Here is a 27,924-nt window from a genome sequence, read left to right as displayed (position 1 = left end):
TCCAGTCACCTCCCAATGCAGACATGAACAGCACGCAGTGGAGAGTGAGGCACACAGAGGTGACTGAGCAGGTCTGGGGCAGCAGACATGTCTCTGAACATTGTCATGAGGGTGACACCTGACAAAGACACTCTCACCTCACTACTTTCCCAAAGAGAAGAGAGGCCCAGAAGCTTCTTGGTGCCCCCGCCCCACCTCCACCCTCTATGGAAGGCTTCAGGTGTTTGCAAAGGGCACAGGAGTTCCTGCACTGAGGAGCTGAGCCTGTTCCACCTCATTAAATGGTCCTATCATCATGTCCAGAAGCATGAGGTTATGCACACAAAAAAGCAAATTCTACGACAGCCAATCTTAGTTTATCTTCGATGTTTAAACTGTTTCAAGACATGTTGGAAATCCAGTCAGACACTTCTCATCCTCAACCCTTGAAGAATCGAGTTAAACAGTCACCCTTTATCCACGTTGCCTTTTGCCCCATAGATAACCATCTTCCACATGTTCAATGACAGATGAAAACAGTAATGGGGTGATGGTTACAGCGGCTAAGCATTCCTCAAGCATTTCTCACCTGTCAGGCACTTCCGGCTTTCCTGACCTGTTCTCCATTGTCTTCGTAAAACTTCTGCACCTCCGTTTTATAGATCACTTGGGTAATGAGGGGCAGAGATGGGATTCCACAGAGGTCTGTCTGGCCCCACTGCCAGGCCGTCAGGACAGCCACCCTCGCCTGTCCTGTGGGCCCCTCTTAGTGTGGATGGGCACTCCCAGCCTGCCCTGTGGTTTCTTGGATGACCCTGGGACCTTATTTTCCTCTCCATCACATGAGGAGACTAAGAGAGAAGATATGAAACAGCTGTGGATATGAAACAGTGAAAAATGTCCAGGCCAGTAGCTTGGCCCAAACTTCCCCTCTTTCACATCAGAGCTCTTTGAACTCTCAAAACTTGAGAACAGATGGCACCAGGGCATGATGATGTGTCCACTCAGCTTATTAGGGCCACTCAGGAAGGGATAATTAATAATCACTTAATGCCACAGTTTCCTAAACACACCAGTGGAGCCCACCCAGCCCTGGTAGGCACTGCTGTGTTGGTAGCCAAGGGAAGCAGAAGTCAGAAACAAGAAGCAGCCACCATACAAAGATGATTTTCCTGGATTGAGAAGGAGATGAATGCAATTTTCAGAATCTTGCCAACTTTCACCCACAGTGCCATCAGTGGGAGGGAGCACCAGGCCCAAAGTCAAAGGAGAAAGCCAAGCAGGTGATAGCAGATGTACACACAGCAGTGGGACTGCAGCTGAAAAGTATTCATCCATAGAAAGGAAAGGCCCTTAGGGTAACTAGTTCGAAAATCCCACTAAACATAGTATTCGAATTTATCTAGTTTGTCTCTCTCCACCCAATTGATAGTCATGTGGCCTAGGTTTGAATACTTCCAAGCCTGAGAGGCTCGCTATTTCTCTAAATTCCATTTTTGAACAGCTCTACTTGTTTCAAAGAGTTTCCTCAATCAAAGATAAATCTGCTTTCTGATACTTCTGCCTAATCTCCATTCTGTCACTTGTGATAAGAGTTTCCAAACTTGCTGCACATCAGAATCACATGAGGAGCTTTTAAAGAAAACAGTAAGAATTCCAAGGATCCATTCCAGACTAACCAAATGACACCTCTAAGGCTGGGGCTCAAACACCTTCCCCTCTCCTCTGGGAGGTTTCCAATATGCCAATAACGTGATCGTGGTTGGCCCTGTTCTGATCAACACTGCATATCACTTTTCTGCCTGGAATCTTTGAGAGTCGGTGGTTAAGATATTAGGCCAGGTGTGACCCTGTGAAGTAATCCTGTGTTGATCCAGCCTGCTGGGAGTTGGGAAGACAAACTCTGCATTTGTTTTTAAGAGATGTAAGTTTCTGGATACTATCAAAGCAGACTCATTCAGGTCAACCCTTGATTTGTAGCTGGTGGTGGTGAAAGGAGTGCTCTGGCATCAGAAACACCAGTATGCAAATCCTAGTGGTAGCGTTCGTACAGGTGTGCGACATTAGAGGACTCTTCATCTGAACCCCAGCTTCCTTGCCACAAAACAGGATGAATAGCCCCACATGACAGAGTCATTAGCATAACTGTGGGGACAAAAGAGTTCTCTATCACCCCCCCTTTCCTTCCACCCCTTCTTTCTTCTAAAGCTTCTCTCCACCCAGGGTCACCTTCAGGCAATCACAGACATTTCTCAACCCTCCTTAGTCACAAAGCAGAGGCTGTTTCCCCAAACTATTCCTTCTCTTTCTGTGATGGGCATGGACAAGGCTGCTTCTCTTTAAATCTCTATCTGGGAGAGGAGGAAAGGAGGAGGGGGCATTCCAGGCTGGGGAATCGGAGGCAGGCCAGAGCAAAGCCTGGCTGAAGAACGGGTTACCTTCCCGTCTGCCTGCCAAGCTGCCAGCCCAGGAAGCGAGGGCGTGTTAGACAGAGATAGCACTGTTAGTTGATATTTCTTCAGCAAGGGTTAGATCAGAGCTTCCTCATTGGGTAATTTTGGTCAGTTTCAGTTTTTCCCATAACATACCAGTCTGACATGCCCACTTCCTCTACAGAATTGGGGTTGGTGTCAGGGGAAGCCCTAAAGACAAATTAACCCCATACTCTCTAGGAAATAAGATAATACCCAAAATGGGAAGCCATTAACACCCATCCCCTTAAGTACCTGCATTTTCCTCCAGACCAGCACTTAAAAAAGGAGAGGAAATTGTGTCACTGTCACAAAGCAACAAATGGAGAGAACAAAAGGGGACATTCATGGAGGCTCCACTTCGAAGTATGCAGTGTGCAGGGTGGGCCATACACAGTCCTGGCCAGGTATGGGGAAGCCCAGGAAGGAAAGGCCTGGAGGTGACTGCAAGAAAGGGATCTCAGAGAAACCAGGCCCATCGGGGAGCAGCCTCGACCCAGGTCACACAGTTGAAACTAGAATCTGGATCACCTGGATGAATGTCAACCCTTCTGGCCCAGAAGCGCCCATCTCATTCTGCAGGCCCAATGCAACTGAAAGACTGGTGCCACTGCCTGGATCCTGAGCCCACCCCATCTGGTCCCTGTGGGAACCTGGCCTTGATCAAATTATTTACATCCAGAAGACAGCAATATTCCAATTTTGACAGTTTTTATATGAAGTACTACAGATCCTACCTTGAGTAAGGTACTCAAGGGTTTTAAAAGGGAAGTGTAGACGAAACGAAACCTTAAATTTCAATGTCTAAGTCTGTAAGATCCGTATCATTCAATCCCTGAATCCTGACTACTGTTGCAACCCCAGCATCTTCCATGTTATGGCATTTATGGAACAGCTATTAAATACAAAGCACTAGTGTACAGAAACATAATTTTACAAGAAATTAATTCTGGAAATGAATAGTGGTGGTAGTTGCACAGCAATGTGAATAACACACTTAATGCCACTAAATTGTACACTTAAAATGGTTAAAATGGTAAATTTTGTGATTAATATTTTATTACAATTCTTAAAAATTTTAAGAAATCAACAGCCCTGCTCTCTAGGACTTTATATCAAAGAAGCTGGCTCATATTATAGATCAATGAGTGTCTCTAGAATGCGTGGAGAGATGAGTCTTGTCTAATAAGAATGTCGGGCACAATACAAGGCAGCCCATGGGAAGTGTCACAGATTTAAGTGGCCTGAGAGACTGGCAATCAAAGGGGATACTTTTGGAGCTCAGCCACCTTAGCAGATAAATGCTTACCTAGAGACAGCAGTGTGAAAAGGCTCAGGAGGCATGGGCAAGCCCCTAAGACCCTGGGAAATTACCAATTCCAGGAACAGAAAGCTCCTCACCTTCACAACATTACATTAGCTCCCCATGAAATGCTTCATAGGTTTAGTTCTATCACTTTTAATCAAGGGCTCACAGGAAAGACTATAAAGACCACTGCACCAGGTAAAGCTGCTGTGTCTTTCACTAATGCTTCCCTAGCCATTCAGTCCCCAGTAAGGGTTAGTGTCAGGAGAAAGTCTGGCTGCCCAGACACACTGTGCTACCTGTTATAGGCCGATGGGATGAAAACGACTGACTCAAAGAGAACTAACTATCCTTTTTGCCTTGACTGTCAGGAAGCTTGGAGCTTCGTCAAGTTTGTTTAACTTTAGAGACAGAGTCTTGCTCGGCTGCCCAGGCTGGAGTGCAATGACGCAATCATGGTTCACTGCAGCCTCAAACTCCTAGGCTGCAGCCTTAAACTCCTGGGCTCATGATCCTTCCACTGCAGCCTCCCAAGTAGCTAAGACTATAGGTATGCACCCTCGTACCCAGCTGATTTTTTTAATTTTATTTTTTCTGTAGAGACAGAGTCTCACTGCGTTGTCCAGACTGGTCTCAAACTCCTGGCCTTAAGCAATCCTTCCATCTTGGCCTCCCAAAGTGCTGGGATTACAAGCATGAGCCACCACACCTGGCCTGTCAAGTTTTTCAGTAATCATCTCGCCAGTTTGATGACTCTCGTTCTAGAAATCTTTTTACTGAAAGCTGAACCAAATCACTAAATCCTTTTAGTAAGCAAGCAGAAAATACATAATACATGAATAAGCAAATGTTCATCACTTGTGTCTGCAGGGCACACCCTCCTGGTAGAGGGCTGAATTCAAGTGATCACATAGGATAAGAAAGTTACTCCACAAGCATAGAAGCATCAAAGCAAAGGATGCAGGATGCCTGTGGCACAGCTGAACTTTGTCTCCCCAGTCTTGGGATATTTCTAATTGATTATCTAGAACCGTCTCTCCAGGTGCCCTAGATGACCACAGCTAAAAATCCTACCTTTTAGTTTCTAGACCCTAGAAGACCAACTGATTGAACTTCACCTTTCTTAACATGCATGTTCTTGTCCTGAAGATACAATCGGGTCATCTATATATTAGGTCAACACTCCTATTTGGCCCCTTTGACAGAAACTTAGAAAGGACCATACCTTCTGGAAGTCAGGGGCCTTATTATGACTACTTTCGTCTGCTTTAAATCAACCACAGTCAAAACAGGGTGGTGGGATGGGCACAGTGGCTCACACCAGTAATCCTAATACTTTGGCTGAGGAGGATCATTTGAAGCCAGGAGGTCAAGGCTGTAGTGAGCCATGATCACGCTGCTGCACTCAGCCTGGGCAACAGTGCAAGACCCTGTCTCTTAAAAACAAAAACAAGCCAGAGTGGTGCAAGAGATAGTATACAGCAACAAGAATGCACCACCTACCACTACATGCAACCACATAGATGAATCTCAAAATACAGTAAAACACTGGCTGAAAAATGCCAGACACAAATGGCATCTTTTATATCCTGTATGAGTCTATTTATATTAAGTACAAAAACAGACCTATGCTGTTAGTCAGGACAGTGATTACACTTGATGGTGGTGGTGGGTAGGAGAACACGGGGCTGGTTCAGGTAATGATCTGTTACTGGATCTGGATGGTGGTTACCTGCTGCTTTCAGTTTCCCATGTGCATTATACTTCAATTCAAAAGACGCTGGAAAAAAAAGGCAGGTTGCACTGACTTGGCCCAAGTTTACCCACTATACACAGTCAAAGAGCCAAAGAAGATTAAAGAGGTCAAAAGAGGCCAAACAAAGAGAGATCCATCATTTAAATCTGGCCACACAAAGACTTCCAGTGACTCTGTGCTGACACATGCTTGCAACTTAATTTCAAAAGAATTTCATATTTTTGCATTATTCCTTTGCCAGTGTTTTACCACAACTCTCTGACAAGGAAACCAAGACTTGGAGAAGCCTCCCCAAATCACAGGCCTAGTCCCTGAAGACCCATAGCATCCAGTGACCAGCCGAGTGCCCTAACCTAGGGCACAGGTGTGCCCACCCTGGGAAAGCCAAGCAACTGCTGTCAGTGACCTCATTAATAATAATGCCCTCACAGACTCCTCCTGGGAAGGCTGAGGCTGTACAAAGAGCAGCAAGTTTATTCTACAAAGTTGCCAGGGCAGGGCCAGATGTTTCTGATAAAAGAAAAAAAGATGAGCCGGGGGGAAGACACACAGCAGAACATGGATTCTGTAAGTCTCCTGTCCTCTGAAAGCCCATGAACCGAAACTCAGATCTCCTATGCCACTTCTTCAGATGGGACAAGGAACTTGTCCTCGCCAGGGCAGCCATGCCACCTCAGGCCAATGCCAGCTCTGACACACTGCAGACTCACAAACCCGAGGCAGCGGGTAAGCGCAGAGCTGACCAGGGAGGCATACGGGCCACTCCTCCAGGATCCTGTTGCAGCGGTTGTGAGTCACAGGGCTTCCTGTTCTTCCAGTTCTCAGTCTCAGCTGCATCAAGTTACAGCCAGACAGACCTTAGGCAGCAGCACCTGTCCAGGGTCCAGGAGATGGGCATTTGGGACACCCGGCCCAGGGTCCTCCTGTCCTCAGACATTCTGTTCTGACTGCGGAGCAGCAGAGCAAAGGGGGATTATGTCCCAGATGCATGTGACCCTGGCACAGTTCACCTGCCAACAGATATTGACTGAGTGCCAAGTTGAGTGTGCCAGGGCTGGGCACTGAGGATACTGGGATAAAGGAGACACCAGCCTCTGCCAGGAAGGGGCTGAGTCTATTGGCAGAAGACAGATACATTAACAAGTAATTACAAACTGACAGGAAGGGCAGAACAGTAGGCAGTTTCCTTTACATTAATAAAATATGGATTTACAATCACTTAAATCACATACATCAATGTGAATCTGAGGAGTGTTTGTCTTGAAATGGTTAGAAATGTGTATGTGTTGGCCTCACTGCCCAAAATGTCCCCTCCCCTTGTCTAACAAACTCCCACTGACCCTCCATAGCCCAGCATAAATGGCCTCTCTGCAGTCATAGCAGCAGCTATCTCAATACTAGGATATAATAGGTGCTCAAGAAACCTTTGTTATAGTTATACACAAGGGGCTATGGGAACACCAAAGAGAAAAGTTGACAAGTAACTTGGTGAAGGGGAAGAGCTGGCTACTCCCGACTGACCAGGTGCTCTGTGTCGGGCCTTGCTCTTCAGGCTGGCGCCCACACTGCATGGGATCCCCGCAGCAGCATGGTTTCCTCCCAGTCCACCTGTCTGCCCTGCCTAGGATGCTAGGTCCCTAGAAGTCAGACTCTGCCTACCCCTCGACAGCCCCAGGCCAGGGACCAGAATCTGCCTCTGAGCCTCTTGCCCCACAGTGGCATCTGAACTCCCCACTCCTGTCTGCTGCCAGCGGTCCACTTGCTGGATCAAATACCTCTGGGTCTGTCCCAGTCTGCCCCATCCACCCCAAGATCACACCCACCACAGGCAAGGTACCCACACTTCCCTGCTTACCCAAGACAATCTCAGTTTACACCTGTGGTCATGGCATAACTACTGATAGTGCTTTCCTCCATTTTCAAAAGCGGCCCAGTTTGGACAATTAGGGCATCCCCCTAGATACAGCTAAGTAAATCCTGCCTTTGATCTTGGGAAACTGACACCTAAAATGATAAGAGTTCATGCTGCACAAACTGTGTTTTAAAAAAACATGATGGGGATCAAGAAACTGGGTTCCAGATCTGGGGCTTATCCTATGTGAGCTTGGGCTGGTCCCTTAGTACACAACATCTGGTTTCCTTAACTGTAAAATGAAGGGTTTGTTTAGACTACATGGTCCCAAAGGTCCCTTCCCAGCTGATACCTGACTCATAACCCCATGAAACTGAAACATAAGTGAAACTGAAACATAGTTGTCCCAGCAGCTTTGTGCTGGGGGTTAAGGGCACTGGCTCTGGAGTCACATTGCCTGGGTCTGGATTCTGGCTTGCCCTGGGGCAAGGTACTATCCTATTTTGTGCCTGGTCTCTTCATTTGAATAATAGATAATAACAGGACCTACCTGGAGGGCAGCTTGAGGGTGGCCTGAGTTACTACACACAGAGCTGATGGGAAGAGGCTACAGGACTTCATGGAGGGGACTGAGACAGAAAAGTTTGGGAGGAAACAGGAAGCAGGAAGAGGAAGTCCCTCAAATGGGAAAGAAGGAAAAGTGGCAGTTTCGAATGCCCTCATTTAACCCTAATTAAAGCTGTCAGATGGTTCATCTGGCTTTATTCCTTCAGACAATATGGAGATGCCAGAAGGAAGGGATTGGGAAAAAGGCCTTTTAAGAACATGGACCACCTCCAAGCATCCAGGGCAGAAATGGTGGAAAGGCAGGAAGGCTGAGTGGGCAGGAGGTGGGTGGGCCCCAAGGGCTTCCAGAGCCAGTTTCTCAGAGCCTGACTCACTCTCCTGGTTAACGCTGAGATAAGATTTAACCAAGGCAGGAAAGAATGTCCGGGAAATGCTTAGAGATCCATCTGCAAACAAAATGAGTGACCACCCCTAAAAGAGGGCAGCATTTTAGGGGAAATGAGATTCTCTGTTCACAGGAACAGGGCCAAGACTCCTGACTCCTGACGTGGATAAGGCAACGGCTGTTCAAGAGGTGGGATGGAGGGTATGGGTTGCACATGCAGAATCCCCCTGGGCTTCGTGAAGAACCCAGGGCACCCTGGGCTCAGCAGGAAGGAACACACTCAACAGCCCAGGGTCTGTATATGAGGGGCAAAGAGCTGACTGCCAAATCCCAGGATGCCCAGGGAACCTCACCCAATCTGCCGAAAGAATGTGAGAATGGCCATTCCCTTCTGTGAAATTCCAGGGGTCGGTGGGGCCAAACCTATCATGGCGGGTCCTGTGACTCTTCAGCACAGGGCACTGCAAATGATTTCCCCTGTGGAAAGCCAGGTCTGGGAGAGATGTGAGGATGAGTGAGCAAGTATTTAACTGACAAACTCCACAGCAGAAGAATATGAAATCCCAAGTAAGCAGCCTCCACAATGCCCTCTGAAGCCTCTGCTCTTCTCTGGGTTAGTTACCGGGGAGACAGAGGTTAGGGAAAAGGAGCTGGAACTAACCCTGTGATCATTCAGCACAACTGTGTCTCCTGCGACATCGCAAGGATGCTTCAACCTGAAGTGCACTAATGTCCCAGGCATCCCAGAGACCTCGAATGGGGGAGCCACCTCTGTAGAGGACCAGAAGAAAAGCAATTTAGAGGAAGAGCTTAAGGATGGATCTCCTACGCCCAGGAAAGAGAAGGTTTTAGAAGCACGGTGGACGCATCCTTCTTCCCTGGCTTCAGGAACTTTCCATCCTTCTGACTTCTCTGTCCTCTGATTCAATCCAACGTCACACAGAGACACAAATGGACCTGAAACCACTTACTCTAAAAGAAGCTCTTGGGAGTTATCCAGGGTAAAGCAGGGCCTCTTTTTGCTCCTGTCCAGGCGGACGGTGCAGTGGGACATCTAAGACTGTGTCTCTCCCTATGTACAGATGCTCCGACTTACAATGAGGTTATGTCCCGATTAGTAAGTCAAAAATGCATTTCGTACACCTAACCTACCATCGAACACAAAGCCTATTTTACAATAAAGTGTTGAATATCTCATGTAATTTATTGAATACTGTACTGAAAGTGCAAAACATAATGGTTATATAAATACTGAAAGTACAGGTTCTACTGAATGCGTATCACTTTTGTGCCATTGTGAAGTCAAAAAAAAATCAAGTTGAACCATTGTTAAGTACCAATACTTAATACATAAAGCATTGACTATATGTCAGGCACAGTTCTCAGAGCTTGACACCTGTTAACCCTCTTTCTCTTTCATTCTTACAACTACTCAATTAAAGTGTTATCCAAACAATCTTTGCATTTTATAGGGAAAAGAAACTGAGGCCTAGACAGGTAGAGTAACTGACCCAAGCTCACACTGCGTGTTATGCAGAAAGCCAGAGTTCAACCCCAGGGAGCCTGACTCCAGCTCATCAAACAGCCTCTCCCAGTAACTGTCAGGCTGTCCCTCAGTGGATGTCACTGGCCTACCTCCTCTGCTCCCCAGCTCAAGTGCCTTCTGAATTTCCATTACACCAGCTCACATGCCTGTCTTGTTGGGAAGCCTGGCTCATGCCCAGCCTCCATGGAAACTACAGCAGCACCAGGGTGAGCATCTTCCAAGGGCAACTGACTAAACTCCTCTTGCTGGCTTTCTGGAGCACTTGTATTGCCCACATTTCTCTGGTTGAGAATACAGAAACAGCAACTAGCTCCCGTTCCCTGGAAACCTGCCCCCCAGCAAGGAACTGTGGGCATCTGCAGACTGCTGTGAACTGTAGACCTCATCTTAAGTTCGTCTTTTGTAGAAGCCCATTTCCCACCATGACGGTCACAAGACATGGCACACTGTTGACAACTCAGGGCTCTGATCCCAACTAGGGCTACTAACTTGCTGTATGACCATCAGCAATACACCTGAAAACTGAAGGGGGTGGCAGGGATGGACCATGTTCTTCTAAAGCAGTTTCTCAAATTTGACACTGTAGACATTTTGGGCCAGGTAATTTTTTGTTGTGGGGAGCTATCTTGTGCATGGTGGAATATTCAGCAACATTCCTAGCCTCTGCTTACTAGATATCAGTAACACACACTCACCCAAACCTGCCTCTGCTTACTAGATGTCAGTAACACACACTCACCCAAACCTTTGTGACAACCAAAAATGTCTCCAGACATTGCCAAAGTCCACTGGGGTATAAAATCACTCCTACTTGAAAACTACTGCTCTAAATGAAGAATTTTAAAAAGATAGGCTTTGTCTCTGGAAATTTGAGTAAGGTGGAAATTCTTGCTCTTTATGATAGGCTGGGATAGCCCCTCACAAAAAACGTATCTGTCCCAAAATGTCAATAGCACCAAGGCTGAGAAAACTGCTTTAAAGATAAGCAGAAAGAGCCACTCCAGCACAAGGAAGCATGGTGTGTGATCCACAGAGTGTGATATGAAGACGTGTCCAGTGAGCTATGGGGATTTAATTTGCCACATCCCAACCCCCACAGCTTTTTTTTTTTTTTTTTTTTTTTTTTGAGACAGAGTCTTGCTCTGTCGCCCAGGCTGGAGTGCATTGGTGCGATCTCAGCTCACTGCAAGCTCCACCTCCCGGGCTCAACTGATTCTCCTGCCTCAGCCTCCCAAGTAGCTGGGACTACAGGTGCCTGCCACCACGCCCGGCTAATTTTTTTTTTTTTTTTTTGTATTTTTAGTAGAGACGGGGTTTCACCGTGTTAGCCAGGATGGTCTTGATATCCTGACCTCGTGATCCGCCCGCCTTGGCCTCTCAAAGTGCTGGGATTACAGGCGTGAGCCACCGCGCCCGGCATAACCCCCACAGCTTTGAAAAGGCAAAGACAGACTACGTACAGTGTTGGAAAACAAACCAAACCTGCTGACTTCAAAGCTCAACGATGATAATGAGGAACGTCTTATCAAGATGTGGTCTTTTAAACCGGAAGTATCTGAACAAAGGAAGCCAGTTTTCTGGGGCTCCAAGTTCTTTCAGTTCATCAGATCTCCTTACTCCCATTGCCAACTGTGGTTTGTGTTGCTCTGATTCCCCCCTTGGAAAAGGACCTCCAATTGCCCCAAACTCCCCAGAGTACTGGAAAAGTTCAACTTTGAAAAGTGATGTTTAAAAAAAAAAAAAAAATGCCTGGCGCGGTGGCTCACGCCAAAGTAATCCCAGTACTTTGGGAGGCCTAGGCAGGTGGATCATGAGGTCAGGAGATAAGACCATCCTGGCTAACACAGTGAAAAACCCCATCTCTACTAAAGATATAAAAAAATTAACCGGACATGGTGGTGGGCGCCTGTAGTCCCAGCTACTCGGGAGGCTGAGGCAGGCGAACGGCAGGAACCCAGGAGGCCGAGGTTGCAGTGAGCTGAGATCACGCCACTGTACTCCAGCCTGGGCGACAGAGTGAGACTCCATCTCAAAAAAAAAAAAAAAAAAAAAAGGCCAGGCGCAGTGGCTCACGCCTGTAATCCCAGCACTTTGGGAGGCCAAAGTGGGCAGATCACGAGGTCAAGAGATCGAGACCATCCTGGTCAACATGGTGAAACCCCATCTCTACTAAAAAAAAATTAGCTGGGCATGGTGGTGCGCACCTGTAGTCCCAGCTACTTGGGAGACTGAGGTAGGAGAATCACTTGAACCCAGGAGGTGGAGGTTGCAGTGAGCCAAGATTGTGCCACTGCACTCCAGCCTGGTGACAGAGCGAAACTCTGTCTCACAAAAAAAAAAAAAAATTGACTTTGGCTGAGCTCAGGGGAGTTAATTCATTCAAAGGTAGAGGAAAAAGTGCTTCTTAGCTCTCTCTGAAATGTAAGTTTGGCAATATAAAACAAACGGATGGTTAACAAAAGCTACAAAGTATTCCTAACTACCATCAGTTGTCTTCTGAGCAGAGAAAGGGACAGAGTTAGGTTACCAAGATGTTACATATTGAACAAATGGAGTGAATTGTACCTGTCAATGTCAGTTTGTCCAATCAAAATTAACATAGACAAAAATAATATTATTAAGGTTTCAATCAGCAATTTACTCTTGATACTCTAATCCCATACGTGCGGACTAATGGCACGTGGTAGGTGTCCAAAATGTGCCAAGGTTCCTTGAGGCTCTAACTCCAGCCCCACCCATGGTAATTCACTCTTTTGACCTAGCAGCCATATCTCTCTAGACAACTGAAAAGTATCTGGGTTTCTGTCTCCCATATCACACTCAGAGGGCCTTGCACTCACTGTAGGTTCTTAAAAAAACATTAAAATTCTTGGCTTTCTTGACTCTTGGGGTCTCTGTTCAATCTTTTCGCTTCCAAGATATTCCTCTCAAGCCCAGCATTGAAGGTCACCCCTTGCTCATACAACAAGGAATCTACATGAGCTATGTCTATTACAGGATTCCAGTGCAAATGTCACCAGTCTATGCGTATTAAAACAATTTGGTCAATGGTCAGAGAAAGGAGTATATACTTCATTTTATCTCTATGGTTAACCCTGATTCTCCATTCTTAAATGACAAAATCCTGCATCTTGTATACTAACTTATCTCAATCAATAGAAAGAATCAGCCAGGCGCGGTGGCTCACTCCTGTAATCCCACCACTTTGGGAGGCGGAGTCAGGCAGATCACGAGGTCAGGAGATTGAGACCATCCTGGATAACACGGTGAAACCTCGTCTCTACTAAAAATACAAAAAAATACCCGGGCATGGTGGCAGGCGCCTGTAGTCCCAGCTACTCGGGAGGCTGAGGCAGGAGAATGGCGTGAACCCGGGAGGTGGAGTTTGCAGTGAGCTGAGATTGCGCCACTGCACTCCAGCCTGGGCGACAGAGCGAGACTCCGTCTCAAAAAAAAAAAAAAAAAAATAGAAAGAATCTTCCATCTCTCCATAGGCAGGACACACAGTCTTGATTGCTGAAGGACAGGAAACTCTCCTCCCTTTCTCTCTCCCTCCTCAGGACCGGCCTCAGGTCATGCTTTGGCCTCAGGTCATGCTTTGGATGAAGAGATAACTGCGAACTACCCCTCCAAGTGTCCACCCATATACCATCCCTTTAGCCTAAGACTAGCTGGCCCTGCCCAGCTCCTCCACTTCCTGCAGCCCTGGTTTAGCTTCTTTCTCCAGAAAGGTCTCCTCCTTTACTCTTGTACTCACTGAGCACCTCACCAGTGGCCAGGAACTGCAGCGACAAACCTAACAGCCAAGATTCTCCCTGCCCTGAGGAAGGAACCCAAACTGAAAACCATCAACTCTAACAGATGGTGGAATGAAACAAATGTCATGCAAGGTTCAAACACACTAATGTTGGCACACAGGAGGGGGAGAAGGAAGCAGAAAGAAAATTAAGACAGTAAACTGCATTTGAGCTGGAAGGGGTTAAGTGGAAAGAAGCCAAGCAGAGTTCAGGGCCACAAAAATGGCAAGGGCAGGCCTCGTGCGGTGGCTCACGCCTGTAATCCCAACACTACGGGAGGCTGAGGCAGGTGGATCACAAGGTAAGGAGATCGAGACCATCCTGGCCAACATGGTGAAACCCTGTCTCTACTAAAAATACAAAAAATAGCTGGGCATGGTGGCGCACGCCTGTAATCCCAACTACTCAGGAGGCTGAGGCAGGAGAATCGCTTGAACCTGGGAGGCAGAGGTTGCACTAAGCAGAGATAGCGCCACTGCACTCCAGCCTGGTGACAGAGTGAAACTGTGTCTCAAAAAAAAAAAAAAAAAAAAAAGACAAGGGCAAAAGGACCTAGTGTGAACAGGCAGGACAGAGGAATGAAAGGATGGAGAGGAAGATGAGGCTAAGCTGGGGGGTAGAAGCGGGAGGCAATTAAGAGCTGTAGAGAGCTCCTGAAATGATCCAGTCTGGCTCCAGAAAGAGTTTTAGGGACACCCTTAGCAGGCCTCCAAAGTAACCAAGAGACCAGTTGACAGAGTTAGAGAGTTGATGAAAATGAATCCAGGACTCTCAGCTGGAGTAGCCAGAGGGTACTGGTGCCACTGATCAAACCAACAGAAGAGCTAGTTCCATCTGTGGTCATGATGGGTGGGGGTGCTACCAGCAGCCAGGAGTGGGCAGAGGCCCGGGCCAGGAGCCCGCTCACATTCCCCAGAGACAGGCAAGTATGTGCTCAAGAGCATGGTGCTCTAAAGCCAAATGCATGGCTTCGATTCCCAGCTCGTACAGAAAAGCTGGAGACCTTGGGCAAGTTACCCCTGGGCCTCAGTTAAACAGGGATGCTAATAACAATCAGTCTTCACCTCATGGGGCTGATTTGAATGTTAATAAGCTGACATACCTAAGAGCTTAGAACAGTGCCAGGTACACAGTAGGTGCTCTGCAGTCGCTCCTGAGTTCCAATTGGCAAAAGTGAGGAAATAACCCTGATTCTCATCTCTAATGCCCCAAAACACTGGGCTTGTCCATCAGGAGACGACAAGTGACCTCGTTGGGCAGGTGAACCCAAGCCTTCCACGTCCTCAGACTACAACCCAGAATATGTAAGATTATCTTATCACAAGGGGATTTCAGAAGGGTCCAAATCAAAAGGTCTTTTCAAAAGACTCTAAAGTTATACTAAATTTTCATTCTTCTCTCTTAATTCTTCTTTCCAATGGCAGCTCAGAAAGATGGTTCCAAGATACTCTGAGTCTCTGCTTTCTATGTAACTGCCACTGGAATCAAACAGCTTCGCTCACCTAAGCTGGGAGTCAAATCCCAGGTTCTGACAATTACTGAGTTAAAGGCCTGATTCAATTCTGCCCCTATTGGTAGTTTAGAGGAAATACACCCAAGGGTCTTCAGGGACACTTCTCAAACTGACAGGTGGCTGCAAGGGTAGAGAAAACCTACAGGAATGACAGTTGCACACTGCAGCGCTTAATAATCGCAACTCCATAAAGTGGACAAGCCTACTGTTATTATTGCATTTCACAAAGAGAAACGGGCTGTCCAAAGAGGCTCAGGGTGCTATGGTTAATAAACCACAAGACAGAGATTACAACTCATTTCCAGATACCCTGGTTAATTCCCGTTCCACTCTGGGGGAAGAGAGATGACCCCCATTCCAAGATTGAGAGTGGTATAACTCCAACGGGGTTCCAACCCTGGTGCCCTCCTCTGGATTGAGGAAGAGTAAATTTATGCAAGGATTCAAATGTCCTGGGGTAATACCCAAAGGAGAACTCCCTGAGATTAATGACGCTCCACTGTGTATTTTAGGACTTGCCAAGAGATGATAGCCTTCCCCAAGAGTTCTTAGAAGTTGAGAAGTTACCAAGATCCTGCCAGCTCAAATCAAAGGCACGTTTTTAAGTAAACTGAATCAAGGTGCAGAGCCACATCCCAGGAATTAGAGAATAACAGCCATTTACAAACAGTAAAACCCAAGTAAATCAACCGCCTCTGCTCGCTCCTCCAGACTTGAGGCTGGGTAACTTCTGCTTTTCTTGGAGGTTCACGCGCCATCACTACATTAATATGCCTCCTATGCCCTCGGGACCGCCAGAATGGGAATATGAGCAGGTTGTCGCACAGAACGGTAATGGCAAGACATTTTCCCAAAAATGTGTTCCCATCAGATATTGAAATTCCAAGTATGTAACTGAGCAACGCTCCGTTGCCTCACAGCTCTTAAAACAACCTCCCTCCAGCTAATCCCCTCCCAACTTGTCCCCTACCTCAAATCGTAGCCCAGGCCCGGGCCAGGAGCCAATCCCCTAATCCCGGGCATTTCAGAAACTCAATTCTGAGCGCGCCCCTGGCCCTGCCCGTCCCCGGCCCCGGCCCCATCCCCACCCCCATACCCCGAGGCGGGGAATGAGAGCTTCCCGGCTTGGCCTGAGGCTCTTTCTTATGTAAATGACCCGGCCGCGGTGAGCGCTCAGCCATAGGGAGCTGCGGAGCCAGGTGGGAACAGACAGGTCGAGGCTTAAGGAAAAAAAAGCTCGTTTTCGGAAGGACATAAATCTCAAGAATCTCAAGTAATCCAGGAACGCGGCGCGTTGGCCTCTCCGAGTAACTTTTAGGGCAAACCAGAAAGTAACAACCAAAGTCCTCCCCTTACTCAGAGGCAGATCCTGAGGACACGAGGCTGGGCGGTCCCGAGGCTGATTTGGAGGGGCGGGGGTTAATGGGGGACGCCCCTCGCCGAGCCTCAGTTCCGGGCGCCACAGTTCCGGGGAGGGGGCGCGGCGGGCGGAGTTCCTCTGCCCCTTTCCTACTCCTTCCCGGGTCAGCTTCTCCTCGAGCCCACCCCCGCAGGGCCGCGGGGAAGGAGAAGGGAACCGCTCGTCTCCTACACGCGGTCCGCGAGCGCGGACGGCCCCCGGCGGCCCCACGCGGCAGCGGAGCAGCCTCCCGCAGCCACGATTCTCTCCACGTGCTCTCGCCGGAACTCGCGCTGCAGAAGGGGGCTCCCTCCCACGTGGGCGCAGCAATCCCTGACTACCTGCGGGGTGACCCGCCCCTCCAGTAACAGGGAAAAAGGGACTGGGGGAGAGAGCGTGAGCGCGTGCCGGAGCTCAGGGAGGGAGGGCGCCCGGCGGAGCGCGACCTCGGCTCCCCGCCCGCGCGCACTCGCCGGCTGTGCTTAGCGGACGTGGCTCCTGGCGCCCAGGAGTGTCCCGGCTGCCCAAACTTTTTCCGCTCCCAGGCCCGGAGTAGGGAGGAAGCGGGTCCCCGCAGGGTCGAGGAAGAGACTGATGGAGGCCAGACCACTTTGCCAGAGCCCAGCCTGCCGCCCCGCCCGCGCTGACTTACCTTCTGCACTTGGTCATGGTTGAGCTCCGTGAAGAAGTAGGCAAGCAGATGCGAGGCAATCATCCTGCCGCGGCCCGACGGCGCAGAGTTGGGAAACCGAGGCGGAGACGCGAGAGGGGAGGCGGGCGGCGCGGTCCGACTGCTTTGTGCTGGGGCTCGGCTGCCGGGCCGGGAGCTGGGAGTCCGGACGGCGCACAAAGAAGGCTACCGGCGAGGGTGCGCCCGGCTGGCGGAGGGCGCGGGTCTCCGGAGACGTGATTTTGGCGTCACAACTGCTAGAAGGCGCCTCAGTTCTCTCCTGGCGACGTGTCCGGTTGTCCCACGTCAAGGCGCTAACTTCGGCCACAGGATCACTGAGGCTCAACTTGAGAAGAATCTCAGCCCGGCTCCACTCGGGCAGTGGGACCTCTCCGATTCACAGGCGCGTGGCTCGGGCCCGCGGATTTTCTTAGCTGGGTGACACGATGTTGCCAGCGGCAGCCCGGGACTCCTGCGCCGGAGTTTCATGCAACAATGTGGCTTATTGAGGGGCTGCCGGCCCGCGGGCCTCCGGATCAGTGACGTGCGCACGCCCATTGGCTGCGCGGGGAGGGTGTGTGCGCCCACGGACCGCCCGCCGCCGTGGCGCAGCCAATCATCGCTCACGGCTCGCGGGCGCGGCCGCTCAGACACCGGAGCCGGCAGCCTGGGGAGGCGCGCCGGGGGCGGGGGGCGGGGGAGGGGCGGGGCGCCTGAGATGGGACGTGTGGTCCGTGGCTAAAGGCTGGGACGGAAAGGCGCATGAGCCACCGCCGCGTCAGGCTCGGCTATGGGTGGGGGGAGCGTGATCGCGGACCCGGGGTGTGGGGCGACTGGAAAAACGGGCCTCTGGACCAGCACACGCCCTGTGCGGAGAGACACTGTCTGGCATCTCGGGATCATGTGAGGGGCTCCCACTGCCCAGTCACACGTCTAAAGCATCCTAGTTCTTACCTATTGTAGCACGGCCGGAAAGTGAGCCGCCTTAGCTGCTGATTGTACTAGAGCAGGCAATACAAGAGTCGGCCCATCCTCAAAACCACTGATAGGATGTGAGTTTCACTAACCCCGTTTTACAGATGAGGAAATTGAGGCAAGGCCAGGGCTCACACCTGTAATCCCAGCACTTTGGGAGTCCAAGGTTGGAGGGTTGCTTGAGACCAGGAGTTCATGACCAGCCTGGGCGACATAGTGAGACCCCCATCTTCCCAAATAAAAATAAATAAATCAGCCGGACATGGTGGCATGTGCCTGTAGTCCCTGCTGCTCAGAAGGCTAAGGTGGAAGGATAGCTTGAGCCCAGGAGTTCGAGGCTGCAGTGAGCTATGATCATACCACTGTACTCCAGCCTAGGTGACAGAGGGAGACCCTGTCTCAAAAAGAAAAGAGACTTACACGAGGTCACATAGCTAATAAGTGGCAGATAGGGAAGAGAACCCTTGTCCCTCTACTTTAAGGCCCTATTCGCTTGCCCCATTATCCCATGCTGCCTCTCTAAGAGCCAGAGAAGTAGGAGGTAGAAAAAGAGCATCTCTGCAGCTCTGGGACTGATGATGTGAATGAACTGGGTAGATGGTAAGTGTGTAACTGGGTGATCTTGGACATGGGATGGGGTGGGTGAGGAGGCTTACCAATGCTGAGAGGAGTGGAAGCTCCAACCCCAGCTAATGCTAGACACCAGACTCCAAATTTAAACACACAGTGGAAACTGGCAAGAATGAAATACTGACTTCAATACAGATTTCAAGAGACATGACATTAGCACTGGTGGAGAATGGCAAGCCTAAGGTTGGAAAAGGTTCAGGGAAGGAAGATGAAGGTCTGCCATGTTCTACTGAGGAGGAGTTTTTCAAACAGTGGGGTGCTGTCTGCAATGTGTACAGCCTTAAAATTATTATATAAGTAATCAATACTCATTGTTGAAAAATAATATATGGATAAACAGGAAAAATAAACAAAAATCATAATCCATCTAGCCTCTCAGCAAAACTTCCTTTTTTTTTTTTTTAAAGCAGGGACTCGATATGTTGCCCAGGCTGGTCTTGAACTCCTGGGCTCAAGCAGTCCTCCCACTTCAGCGTCCCAAATAGCTGGGATTACAGATGTGCTCAGCAAAACTTCTTGAGAACTATGTACCCTTCTAAATGCACGTCCTCAACCCTCCTTCCCTATACTCCACACAGAATTGAGCTCAAACTGCTTTTGTCATAGTCATCATAATGACCTACATGTTGCCAAATCTTGCATTCTCTTCTCTTCCCTGCCCTTGTCTTACTCCTTCTCTCAGGGATGTTGAGGACAGTTAATCACATCCTCCATCTGGACACACCTTCCTCTCTCAGTAAGAGCACCAGTGCTCCACTCTGAGGGTTTCTGGCTAACCTCACTCCCCAGGCTCCTGAGTCCCTGTTTGCTCTATTGGTAAATGCTGGGGTATTCGGGGCTGCCCTCCACCCTCTTCTCTGAACTAGTTACAGTTTCAAACTCCCTGAGGAGAAACTAACTTCCTAGCCCCATGACTGTTATATCATATGCATGCTGATGACTCACCATAGTAAATCTACAGCGAGGTCCTCTCCTGGAGTTGCAGGCTTATTTCTCCAGCTTGCCATTTGTCATCTCCACTGAAGTGACTAGCATATCACACTTAACATGTCCAAAGCTGAACTCAACTTTTTTTCCCAAATCTTTTTCTTTCCCAGTTGTCTCAGCAAATGGCATCGCCATCCACCCTAACTCGTCTTCGATTCCTTCTTGCCACTCACCCTCACAGCCAGTCAATCCATCAGCAAGCAGTTAATTCCACCTATAAAACAGACCGTGCATCTGACCACTTATCTCCATGCCCTTAGACACCTCCTGAGATCTTCCCACAGAATACTGCTTGGCATTCACACTAGCATGCTTTCCTCAAAAATACAAACTCTTTCTCACCCAAGGGTCTTTGCTCTTCCTTTTCCTTCTATCTAGAATATTCTTCTCCAGGCCTGTCTCCAACTCATTCTTCCTCCTCATTGACGTTCCACTCAGATACCTCCTCATGATGCAGGGCAGGCAGGCCCCAAAATTTGGACTTAGCCTGGGAAGATTTTTGGCTTCACCCAGTAAAGAATTCAAGGGATGCCGGGCGCGGTGGCTCACACCTGTAATCCCAGCACTTTGGGAGGCTGAGGTGGACGGATCACGAGGTCAGGAGATCGAGACCATCCTAGCTAACACGGTGAAACCCCATCTCTACTAAAAAAAAAAAAAATACAAAAAATTAGGCGTGGTGGCGGGCTCCTGTAGTCCCAGCTACTCGGGAGGCTGAGGCAGGAGAATGGCGTGAACCCGGGAGGCGGAGCTTGCAGTGAGCCGAGATCGCGCCACTGCACTCCAGCCTGGGCAACAGAAAGAGACTCCATTTCAAAAAAAAAAAAAAATTCAAGGGCAAGCAGGTGGCATTAGACAGCAGCTTATATTGAAGTGGCAGTGTACATCAGGAGCAGAGGCACTGGTCTTTGCAGAGCAGGGCTACCCCATAAGGCCGTGTGCCCAGAGTAGCAGCTCAGAGGCAGCTCTGCACTCATATTTCTACCCACTTTTAGTTAACATGCAAATTAAGGGGCAGGTTATACAGAAATTTCTAGAAAAAGGTTGGTAACGGGTTGTTGAGTCATTGCCATGGAAAGGGGCAGTGACTTCTAGGTGTTAAATCTGGAACTCTAATCTAGAGTCTGGTCCCGAGTCTTAGCCCCCACCTCCAGAGTCAAGTCCCCACCTTCTACCTCATCAGGCTTTCCTTGACCAGTTTATCTCAAATAGTTCCCCAAGTCACTATCACTTGGCCCTAGTTGATTTCCTATTTATTTTCGCTATGTTCTTCCTCTCCTCAATAGATGATAAGCTAAAAGACAGCAGGGTCTGTGTCTGTCATTCCTTCAAGTTTGCAGTGCCTAAAATGGTGCCTGACGCATGGCAGACATGCAATAAACATTTATTGAATGAATTCATAGAAGAATCTTAGAGATGACTACTGTTCACATGTTGTGTAACAATACACACACACATAGAGTTTATAGTTTTATATATTATTTCCCAAATCTTTTCCCATTTCTCTGTCTACCCTAGATCATATGCCCAGTTATCTCTCACCTGACTGGAACAGCCTCATAACTGGGCTTCCCTCTTCAGATATAGACACCATAAATATATAGACTTAGATATTTAACAAAGATTCTTTGTTTGTTTGTTGTTTGTTTTTTGTTTTTTTTAGATAGGGTCTTGCTCTATCGCCCAGGCTGGGGTGCAGTGGCACAATCTCGGCTCACTGCCACCTCCGCCTCCTGGGTTCAAGCGATTCTCCTGCCTCAGCCTCCCAAATAGCTGAAATTATAGGCACTCACCACCATGTCCAGCTAATTTTTATATTTTTAGTAGAGACAGGGTTTTGACATGTTGGCCAGGCTGGTCTCAAACTCCTAACCTCAAGTGATCGCCCATCTCAGCTTCCCAAAGTGCTGGGATTATAGACATGAGGCACCACACCTGGCCCCAAGATTCTCAAAGCAGGAAATTATACAATCGCGTTTGCTTTTTTAGGGCCATAACTGCCCTCCATGTGGATGGGGAGGGAAAGAGGTCAGAGACCAAAGGCAGAAAGAGGCAGAAGCTATAAGGTAAGACTAGGACCTAAGCCAAGATGAGAGTGGGGCAGGGAGGAAGGTTATGGGTTTAGGTATTGTGAAGTCAGAGGTGGAACTGATGGATTTGGCTGGGGTGGGTGAAGGAAAATGAAGAGGAGGATGCCTGCTGCCTAGAATCGGATGGAAATTCAATAGCCTGGTGCTACAAAATGTATTGTCTCCAGGCAGGTAGAACCAAAGCCAGTGGGGTTGGGTCAGCTATGATACTTTCTTCACACACTAGTTTTAATGCCTCTTCTCCACTCCCCTCTGTGGTCCCATTTCATGTGAACCGGATAATAATCATAAGGAACTTTAAGTACATGTTATCTCTTACAAAGTTCCCAGTAATCCTGGGAGGTGGTTGGAATCAGTATTGTTATAGGCCAGGCACAGTGGCTCATGCCTGTAATCCCAGCACTTTGAGAGGCCGAGGTGGGCGGATCATGAGATCAGGAGATCGAGACCATCCTGGCTAACACGGTGAAACCCCATCTCTACTAAAAATACAGAAAAAATAGCCGGGTATGGTGGTGGGCGCCTGTAGTCACAGCTACTCAGGAGGCTGAGGCCGGAGAATGGCGTGAACCCGGGAGGCGGAGCTTGCAGTGAGCAGAGATCATGCCACTGCACTTCAGCCTAGGGGACAGAGCGAGACAGGTCTCAAAAAAAAAAAATTGTTATTAACCCCAATTGATACACAACAAACGGAGGGGAGGCTACCCACATAAGGCTGACTTGTTTCTGTGGTTCTTCTGCCTCTGAACTCCATTCCTCAAGTTTATTATTTATTGAATCTCAGATCTCTCTTATACATACGTGCACATGTACACACATGCACACACAGAGATGTTGAAAATTGAAGAGACAGATGGTCATGTAATTTATATTCCACAGCCCTAGGAAGGAAATCAATCAGCAAAGATTAGTAAACCCTTACAGTGTTCAGGACACTCTCCTCAAAGTGAAATACAAAAAGAAACACAAAATGTGGGTCTTGCACCTGAGGGATTAACTGTTTAGTCAGAGATATAAACGAACACATGAAACAAATATTACAGAATAGAAAAGCCTATCATTAAGAGCCAAATATGTATCTGTCTTTATACATGGTGGAGTTCTGAAGGAGGAAGAGACAGAGCCACAGGCTAGAGTTGGCCAAGGGTGGTCTGACAGATGCAAATGCAGCTTCCTGATCTTAACACAAGGCTACTGCTGGTGCTGGTTCCACATATGACTGACCTTAGCCTAGCCATCAGGCTCCAGGGAGCTATATCCTGGGAAGAGACCACTTTGCCAAATGACCTCCAACTGCCAAATATTCCTTTTTCTAATTAGGATTTATCAAGTTTGCAGCATATCATAAGCGATGGTATTATGTAGAAAATTTTAAGACTGAGGGTGGACCTGCCCTGCATGTAAATACTCATGAGTCTATGCATCCTATTACATTTAATACTGTGCCCTATGTTTTATAGTTCAATTATAATGTATGTATTTGAGGGATTGGGAAAGAAAGAAAATGGAAAGCAGTTAGAAAAGTGGAAGCCACACAGATACACAACACCCCACTTTATCTGTCACAGTTGCAAACAAAACCCATTCAAGCTAATTTATACAGAAAATGAGTTTATTGAAGAATATTTAAGTCCCTTGCAGGCTCTTCAGGAGGGCCAGAGGATCAGGCTCAGAGGCTAACTGAGCCAAGAGTGATGCTCGAGTTATACCACTAAACTCTGCCAGGGGAGATGCTATTGCTATGGCTACTGGGCTGGCATCTCTGCCCACACTCCTGACACTGAACATGGGATGCTATTTAGCCTGGAGGTGCCACAGCCACCTTTGACAGCTGAATATCTGTCTCTCAGCACCCTTGATAAAAGGAATTCTGCATGGCACCTCCTATCTTATGGTATTTATTTCCAAATTGGCACTTTACAGCTGGTTGGCAGAGCTTGGATCACATTCCCATGCCCTCGCTGCAAGAGAATCTGGGAAAGTGGGCTCAGGGGGTGAGGAGCCATAATGCAGAAAAGTTCCAAAACATAAGAAAGATGTTCAAAGGGGCTGGCCAGTCCCAAAGCCTGACAAACCTCCACCACTCGCAACAGTCACTGAATGTGCTAAGTTTAAAATGCCCTTAGACAAACTGGCTTTATGACATCTGAAATATATCAGAAAGATTAAAAAATAAGACATCTGTACTGGATTGGAGTTAAATTCAGGGGAAAAGTAGTCAGGAGGCAAATCAGCACCAGGAAATCTGACTATAAATCAATTGACACGGAGCTGGATTATTTATGCTCTCCACACACAAGGTGTAACCCAGCACCTGTCCACAGATGCCGTCAGTGTCACAGAAGATAAGGAAAAGGCCACTGTGAAATGTTGCCAGGGAGTCCCATCCAAGGCCATCCCAAATGTGAGGCCTGTCATGCCTGATCTTCTCATCCTAATGGACATAGAGCCATAGGTATACCCCTCCAACAATCCGCATGAGAAGGGCATGGTGGCATGCTGAGGCTGGCATGGAAACACTGTGGTCTTGGGCCTTTCTGAGCCCTAGTTTCCGCATCAGCACAGTGGACATCATGATGTAGAATGGGCAAAATCTTTAGTTCAGAGCCTGGTACCTAGTAGATCCTGAATCTAGTTTCCTAAACACACTGCTTGTAATATCCAGTCCCCTATTCTATAAGAACTCAGTGATTAAAAGCCCAGGTGTCTGGATCACTTGAGGTCAGGAGTTCAAGACCAGCCTGGCCAACATGGTGAAGCCCCATCTCTACTAAAAATACAAAAATTAGCCGGGCATGGTGGCGGGTGCCTGTAATCCCAGCTCCTCGGGAGGCTGAGGCAGGAGAATTGCTGGAGCCCAGGAGGCAGAAGTTGCAGTGAGCTGAGATCATGCCACTGCATTCCAGCCTGGGCAACAGAGGGAGACTCTGTCTCAAAAGAATAGAAGAAAAAAAAGTCCAGGTGTCAAGACTAGCAAATGTGGAGTCTCAGGTACATGGGAGAGTGGTTTGTTCCAAATGGAAATGCAGTGCTCTGGTCTAGAGAGATAATTTCGTGGGGAATGGCAGGAAGGATGCTGGGCAAGTAGACAGGGCTCAGCTGAAAGGATGGGAGGTAATAGAATCCCATCAGTGCTTAAAGACATAGTATCTGGGCTGGAAGCAATGTGGAAGATAGATTAGTAAAGAGTGAAACCAGAGTCCTGAGAAAAGATGCTGGAGGCCTCTACTAGACTCATGGCAGAAGGACAGAGAAGAGGGGAAAGAAGTGAAGAAAATGTAAGAGGTAGCCTGAACGGGACACATGAAGTGATTGAGTGTGGAGAGACGTGGGAGAGAGTTGGAAGACTCCAAGACAACGCTTTTCAACCTTGACTGCTCTTTAGAACAGGCTGTACCAAGGGGAGTGAGTGGTTGGCCCTGGGTACAGGCAATGATGGGTGCCTTGCTGCAGAGAATTTATAAACAATAATAAAATCTTTACCCTGTCTGGTTTTTTTAATTATCACCATAGGCTGGCAATTTAAACAATATCAGTGACAAAATACTTCTTCCTGAATTACAGCCAGCTGACCCAGAGTATCCCTCCCTTCCTTTTTTTTTTTTTGTGAGACCGAGTCTCGCTCTGTCGCCCAGGCTGGAGTGCAGTGGTGTGATCTCAGCTCACTGCAAGCTCCGCCTCCCAGGTTCATGCCATTCTCCTGCCTCAGCCTCGCGAGTAGCTGGGACTACAGGCACCCGCCACCACGCCTGGCTAATTTTTTGTTTTTTTTGGTATTTTTAGTAGAGACGGGGTTTCACCATGATAGCCAGGATGGTCTTAATCTCCTAGCCTTGTGATCCATCCGCCTCAGCCTCCCAAAGTGCTGGGATTACAGGCGTGAGCCACAGCGCCCATCTTATCCCTCCCTTCCTGCTCCTTGTCCACTCACTGTATCAGAATCACCTGAAGAGCTTTTAATAATCCTGATGCCAAATTAATAATCAAAAGATATTAATGAGGGCTAGGTGCGGTTGCTGATGCTTATAATGTCAGCATTTTGGAAGGCCGAGGTGGGAAGACAACTTGAGGCCAATTGTTCAAGACCAAGCCTGGACAACATAGCAATACTCCCATCTCTACACCAAATTTAAAAATTAGCCAGGCATGGCGGTGTGCATCTGCAGTCCCAGCTACTCTAGAGGCTGAGGCCTCTGAGAGGATCGCTTGAGCCCAGGAGTTCAAGGCTGCAGTGAGCTATGATCGAGCCGCTTGCACACCAGACTGGGCGATAGAGTGAGACCCTGTCTTTTAAAAAAAATTTTTTTAAGATGTTAATGGCATATTTTCTTCTATTATAATAGTGGAAAAAATATTAAATTCCTGGGGACTTCCACTGTGCAATGAACTCAGAAGAAAACTAGAACAAATAGGGAGTCCCAACAGTACTTCATGAATTTCACCTCCTCTTAGGTTAATCTGTAAATTTTAAATGCAATCCACGTAAAAATAATGAACTTAAAAAGAAACCAGGCTGATTATAATGTTCCTATGGAAAAGTAAACAAGTAGGACTACCCCCAAAATTTCTGCAAACCATAGCAAGAAGCTTGCTCATTTGCTTTTTAAATATTAGACTGGTGATAAAAATAAATAAATAAATAAATAAATATTAGACTGCTGAAGCCATTTCTAAGACTAAAAACCTGTCACAAAAGACCCACAAAAGAGTCTCTATTAAGCAATGTCAAAAAACAATCTAGACAAAAATATATATCAGAAGCAAAAGGCTCATTTTCCTGCTGTATAAAAGAGCTTTTTCAAATTACTAAGAAAAAGAAATCCAACCCTTGGGTAAGGGACACATTAGAGAGTTAACAGAAAAGGAACAAATGTCTATTTGATATATGAAAAGATAATTAACATCACCCAGAATAATGATGAATGCAAATTTAAACCATATCGACATACCATTTTTTGCCCATCAGCTGAACAAAAATCAAATAATGACAACATACGTTACCATAGGGAAAGAGGCACTCTTTAAAGTAAACAGATTTCCCTAAGAGGAAATGAAATTCGTGAAGTACTGTTAACCTTCTCTACTTATTCTAGCCTTCTGAGTTCCTTGTACAGTTTAAGTTCCCAAGCATTGTGTCTTGTTCACTATTATAAGGGAAGAATACATTGTAGGTGGGAGAACACAGCCTCCATGAGGTCAGTTTGACACTATCAATTATAAGTACACCTGTCCTTTAACCCAGCAATCCGATTTTTCTTTTTTCTTTTTCTTTTTTTTTTTTAGACAGAGTTTTGCTCTTATTGCCCAGGCTGGAGTGTAGTGGGGCGATCTCAGCTCACTGTAACCTTCGCCTTCCAGGTTCAAGCAATTCTTCTGCCTCAGCCTCCCAAGTAGCTAGGATTACAGGCATGTGCCACCACGCCCAGCTAATTTTTATTTTTAGTAGAGATGGGGTTTCACCAGGTTGGCCAGGCTGGTCTTGAACTCCTGACCTCAGGTGATCCACCCGCCTCGGCGTCCCAAAGTGCTGGGATTACAGGCATGAGCCACCGCACCCAGCCAAATAAGAGAATATTTTGTAGACTCTTGTGCACTTGAACCTCAGAAGCTTCTTTTTTTTTTTTTCTTGAGACGGAGTCTCGCTCTGTCGCCCAGGCTGGAGTGCAGTGGCGCCATCTCTGCTCACTGCAAGCTCCGCCTTCCGGGTTCACACCGTCCTCCTGCCTCAGTCTCCTGAGTAGCTGGGACTACAGGCACCCACCACCACGCCTGGCTAATTTTTTTATATTTTTAGTAGAGATGGGGTTTAACCATGTTAGCCAGGATGGTCTCGATCTCCTGACCTCGTGATCCGCCTGCCTCGGCCTCCCAAAGTGCTGGGATTACAGGGTTGAGCCACTGCACCCAGCCTCCATTTTTCTTATAGGTACACCCATACATGCTGTGTAAGGTTATTCATTGCAACATCCTTTGCCATAGAAAGACTGAGACCATGCTAAAT

General features: G+C 47.8%; 1 protein-coding gene and 1 long non-coding RNA gene across 8 annotated transcripts in view, besides 9 other annotated features; one reads left to right on the top strand and one right to left on the bottom strand.

Annotated features, from left to right (window-relative positions):
• HK2 (hexokinase 2) overlaps window positions 1–17,740 on the bottom strand; it is a 59,233-nt gene extending 41,493 nt beyond the window's left edge. For 4 of the 7 annotated variants that reach the window (XM_005264280.3, NM_000189.5, XM_011532807.3 and 1 more), the window contains exon 1: window positions 17,224–17,740. In XM_005264280.3, the coding sequence (XP_005264337.1) occupies window positions 17,224–17,286 (63 nt within the window). In that variant the 5' untranslated portion in view covers window positions 17,287–17,740. Of the gene's footprint in view, window positions 1–568; window positions 6,215–16,528; window positions 16,698–17,223 lie in introns of those variants that run through there. The other 3 variants (XM_047444084.1, NM_001371525.1, XM_047444085.1) reach the window with 2 other exon arrangements.
• Window positions 1,772–1,911: an enhancer, noted in NCBI's record as "active region_16083". NCBI's record gives its function as "activates an Ori minimal core promoter by ATAC-STARR-seq in GM12878 lymphoblastoid cells {active_cell/tissue: GM12878}" and the evidence as "EXISTENCE:reporter gene assay evidence [ECO:0000049][PMID:35858748]".
• Window positions 6,271–6,565: a silencer, noted in NCBI's record as "tiled region #11570; HepG2 Repressive DNase matched - State 14:Gen5', and K562 Repressive non-DNase unmatched - State 14:Gen5'". NCBI's record gives its function as "represses a minimal TATA promoter and a strong SV40 promoter by Sharpr-MPRA in HepG2 and K562 cells {active_cell/tissue: HepG2 | K562}" and the evidence as "EXISTENCE:reporter gene assay evidence [ECO:0000049][PMID:27701403]".
• Window positions 14,471–14,986: an enhancer, noted in NCBI's record as "OCT4-NANOG hESC enhancer chr2:75064008-75064523 (GRCh37/hg19 assembly coordinates)". NCBI's record gives its function as "activates a minimal SCP1, AML or CMV promoter by ChIP-STARR-seq in naive and primed H9 embryonic stem cells {active_cell/tissue: H9 hESC(naive and primed)}" and the evidence as "EXISTENCE:reporter gene assay evidence [ECO:0000049][PMID:30033119]".
• Window positions 14,503–14,660: a silencer, noted in NCBI's record as "fragment chr2:75064334-75064491 (GRCh37/hg19 assembly coordinates)". NCBI's record gives its function as "represses an EF-1alpha promoter that drives an FKBP-Casp9 reporter gene in an ReSE screen in phorbol 12-myristate 13-acetate-treated (for megakaryocytic differentiation) K562 erythroleukemia cells {active_cell/tissue: K562(+PMA)}" and the evidence as "EXISTENCE:reporter gene assay evidence [ECO:0000049][PMID:32094911]".
• Window positions 16,146–17,022: an enhancer, noted in NCBI's record as "H3K27ac hESC enhancer chr2:75061972-75062848 (GRCh37/hg19 assembly coordinates)". NCBI's record gives its function as "activates a minimal SCP1, AML or CMV promoter by ChIP-STARR-seq in naive and primed H9 embryonic stem cells {active_cell/tissue: H9 hESC(naive and primed)}" and the evidence as "EXISTENCE:reporter gene assay evidence [ECO:0000049][PMID:30033119]".
• Window positions 16,299–16,368: an enhancer, noted in NCBI's record as "active region_16082". NCBI's record gives its function as "activates an Ori minimal core promoter by ATAC-STARR-seq in GM12878 lymphoblastoid cells {active_cell/tissue: GM12878}" and the evidence as "EXISTENCE:reporter gene assay evidence [ECO:0000049][PMID:35858748]".
• Window positions 16,599–16,848: a silencer, noted in NCBI's record as "silent region_11675". NCBI's record gives its function as "represses an Ori minimal core promoter by ATAC-STARR-seq in GM12878 lymphoblastoid cells {active_cell/tissue: GM12878}" and the evidence as "EXISTENCE:reporter gene assay evidence [ECO:0000049][PMID:35858748]".
• Window positions 17,769–17,998: a silencer, noted in NCBI's record as "silent region_11674". NCBI's record gives its function as "represses an Ori minimal core promoter by ATAC-STARR-seq in GM12878 lymphoblastoid cells {active_cell/tissue: GM12878}" and the evidence as "EXISTENCE:reporter gene assay evidence [ECO:0000049][PMID:35858748]".
• On the top strand, window positions 17,880–19,212 carry HK2-DT (HK2 divergent transcript). The gene has a single exon (NR_185897.1). It is a non-coding gene; the product is annotated as an HK2 divergent transcript (long non-coding RNA).
• Window positions 18,179–18,248: a silencer, noted in NCBI's record as "silent region_11673". NCBI's record gives its function as "represses an Ori minimal core promoter by ATAC-STARR-seq in GM12878 lymphoblastoid cells {active_cell/tissue: GM12878}" and the evidence as "EXISTENCE:reporter gene assay evidence [ECO:0000049][PMID:35858748]".
• Window positions 19,213–27,924: the final 8,712 nt, after the last annotated feature.

This window comes from Homo sapiens, chromosome 2 (assembly GCF_000001405.40).
Source record: "Homo sapiens chromosome 2, GRCh38.p14 Primary Assembly".
Lineage (NCBI taxonomy): Eukaryota > Metazoa > Chordata > Mammalia > Primates > Hominidae > Homo > Homo sapiens.
The sequence above is the reverse complement of the archived record's forward strand: the minus strand, read 5'-3'. Positions and strand labels throughout refer to the sequence as shown.